The 1,675-nt window shown below is 34.8% G+C and overlaps 1 annotated feature.

Annotated features, from left to right (window-relative positions):
* Nucleotides 293-1,675: an enhancer, noted in NCBI's record as "VISTA enhancer hs704". NCBI's record gives its function as "enhancer in: hindbrain (rhombencephalon)[6/6] | midbrain (mesencephalon)[6/6]" and the evidence as "EXISTENCE:transgenic organism evidence [ECO:0001131][PMID:17130149]".

Below are 1,675 nucleotides of genomic sequence, written 5' to 3' on the forward strand. Positions count from 1 at the left end.
GGGCAAAAGGGACTTTTAAAAAACTGTTTGAATAGTTCATCTTTAAATTCTTTTAAATTAAAAATAACTTTCAAGGCATTAGTCAAATGTTTTTAGTATTTGTAGTGTTTGCCTTTTAAATTATTATTTACTATGTGCTTATCTAAAATCAATTTTCAGAAGTTGTTGGATTATAAATGATAAATGAAAAATTAAATACACAAAACCTTGTAAGAAGGCTATGGGAGTAGGGCGGGCTGAGGGGGATTTTAAAAAAGTATTTCTTTGCTCTAAATTTTTTACTCACCCCTTTTTTATATTCCACATTCTAAGCCTCATAGAATCTCTCTGCAGCTTTCATAATTTCAGTTTTACCCAACTCATCTACCTTATAATTATGAATATATGGACATAATTAACTGAATCACTTTGAGAGAGAAAAAAATACCCTACTTAAGGCTAATTAGATGGATCATGGATGCCTGGAAGACTGCATTTCAATAAGGTGAAAAACTTTTGATAAAAATTTAATGAAGTTTCCAATTGACCACAGAGAATATTGATAAGTATTCACTCCATGCAGATTATTAAATTGTATTGATTTAGGATCACAAACTCTAAACACTGCTGTTGCCTCCAGAGGAGACCTGATTGCACTTACATGTCACATTCATAAAAAACATGGTGCACTAATTGGGAGTCTCCCGCCATCTGCACACTTGCTTCCAGGCGCACATGAAATGATCAATGGGAAAGCAGGTCAATCCAGGCAGACTGTGAGTGAAATTAAAATAATAAAATGTCTAAACATTTAACTGCAAATAGGAAATCTTTATACTCACCCACACCCTATTCTGTAGCATAAAGCTAAGGCACAATTATTCATATACCTCAAGTAATTTGCAGGCTCCATACAAAATCTCATTTAAAATAAGAAATTGCTATTTCTGCACATTTATTCTACCAAATGCCAGCTAATTGCTGCAATGGCCATTATAAAGAATAATTTTCGCTTAGTGAAAAAAAAAAAAGGAATGAAGAGAACATTTTCTGGTTTTGTTCCACTGCGAAGGCTCTATTCAGTGAATACTGAATGCACAGCGTTTCACTGCTACATTTATTATGCTGAGAGGTCAAGTATTACACAGCATCTTGTATTACGCTTTGCATGCTAAGTATTTCACTTCACAAATTGACCCTCCGGTGTACTTACTACATAATGCTTTAAAAACCCAGCTAAAACGCAGGACAATTAGCAATACTTTCACTCCCAGTTAACAATGGGAACACCAATGTAGGTGATTGCATTTACAGTGTAGCTTTCTTCACAAAACATTTTTGACACATTAAGGTGCTTTGGAATTGTGCAGTACCAGTCCTCTCTTGTGAATGGCTTTCCAGCATTTGCAGAGAGAAACAGTTACTGTATGTTAGAGCTTAATTGAAAAGAATTCAGCCACGGCCTATGAAGCACCAATTAGGGTGATATTATATCATAAAAAGCTGTAATATCCATTTTCAGACTTGTGCATCAGCCAATACAAAGTAGGACACAATTAAAAAGGTATACAGTTTAAACTCTTGAAACTGTTAAATTTAATTAGGAGTTCAGTATGAGAAAAAAAAAAAGTGTTGTTGGGGCGGTGCACGGTGATGGTGGCAGAGAAAAGGAAGTTCTCTGTAGGGCTGGAAGACC

This window comes from Homo sapiens, chromosome 14 (genome assembly GCF_000001405.40).
Source record: "Homo sapiens chromosome 14, GRCh38.p14 Primary Assembly".
In the NCBI taxonomy this organism is placed as follows: domain Eukaryota; kingdom Metazoa; phylum Chordata; class Mammalia; order Primates; family Hominidae; genus Homo; species Homo sapiens.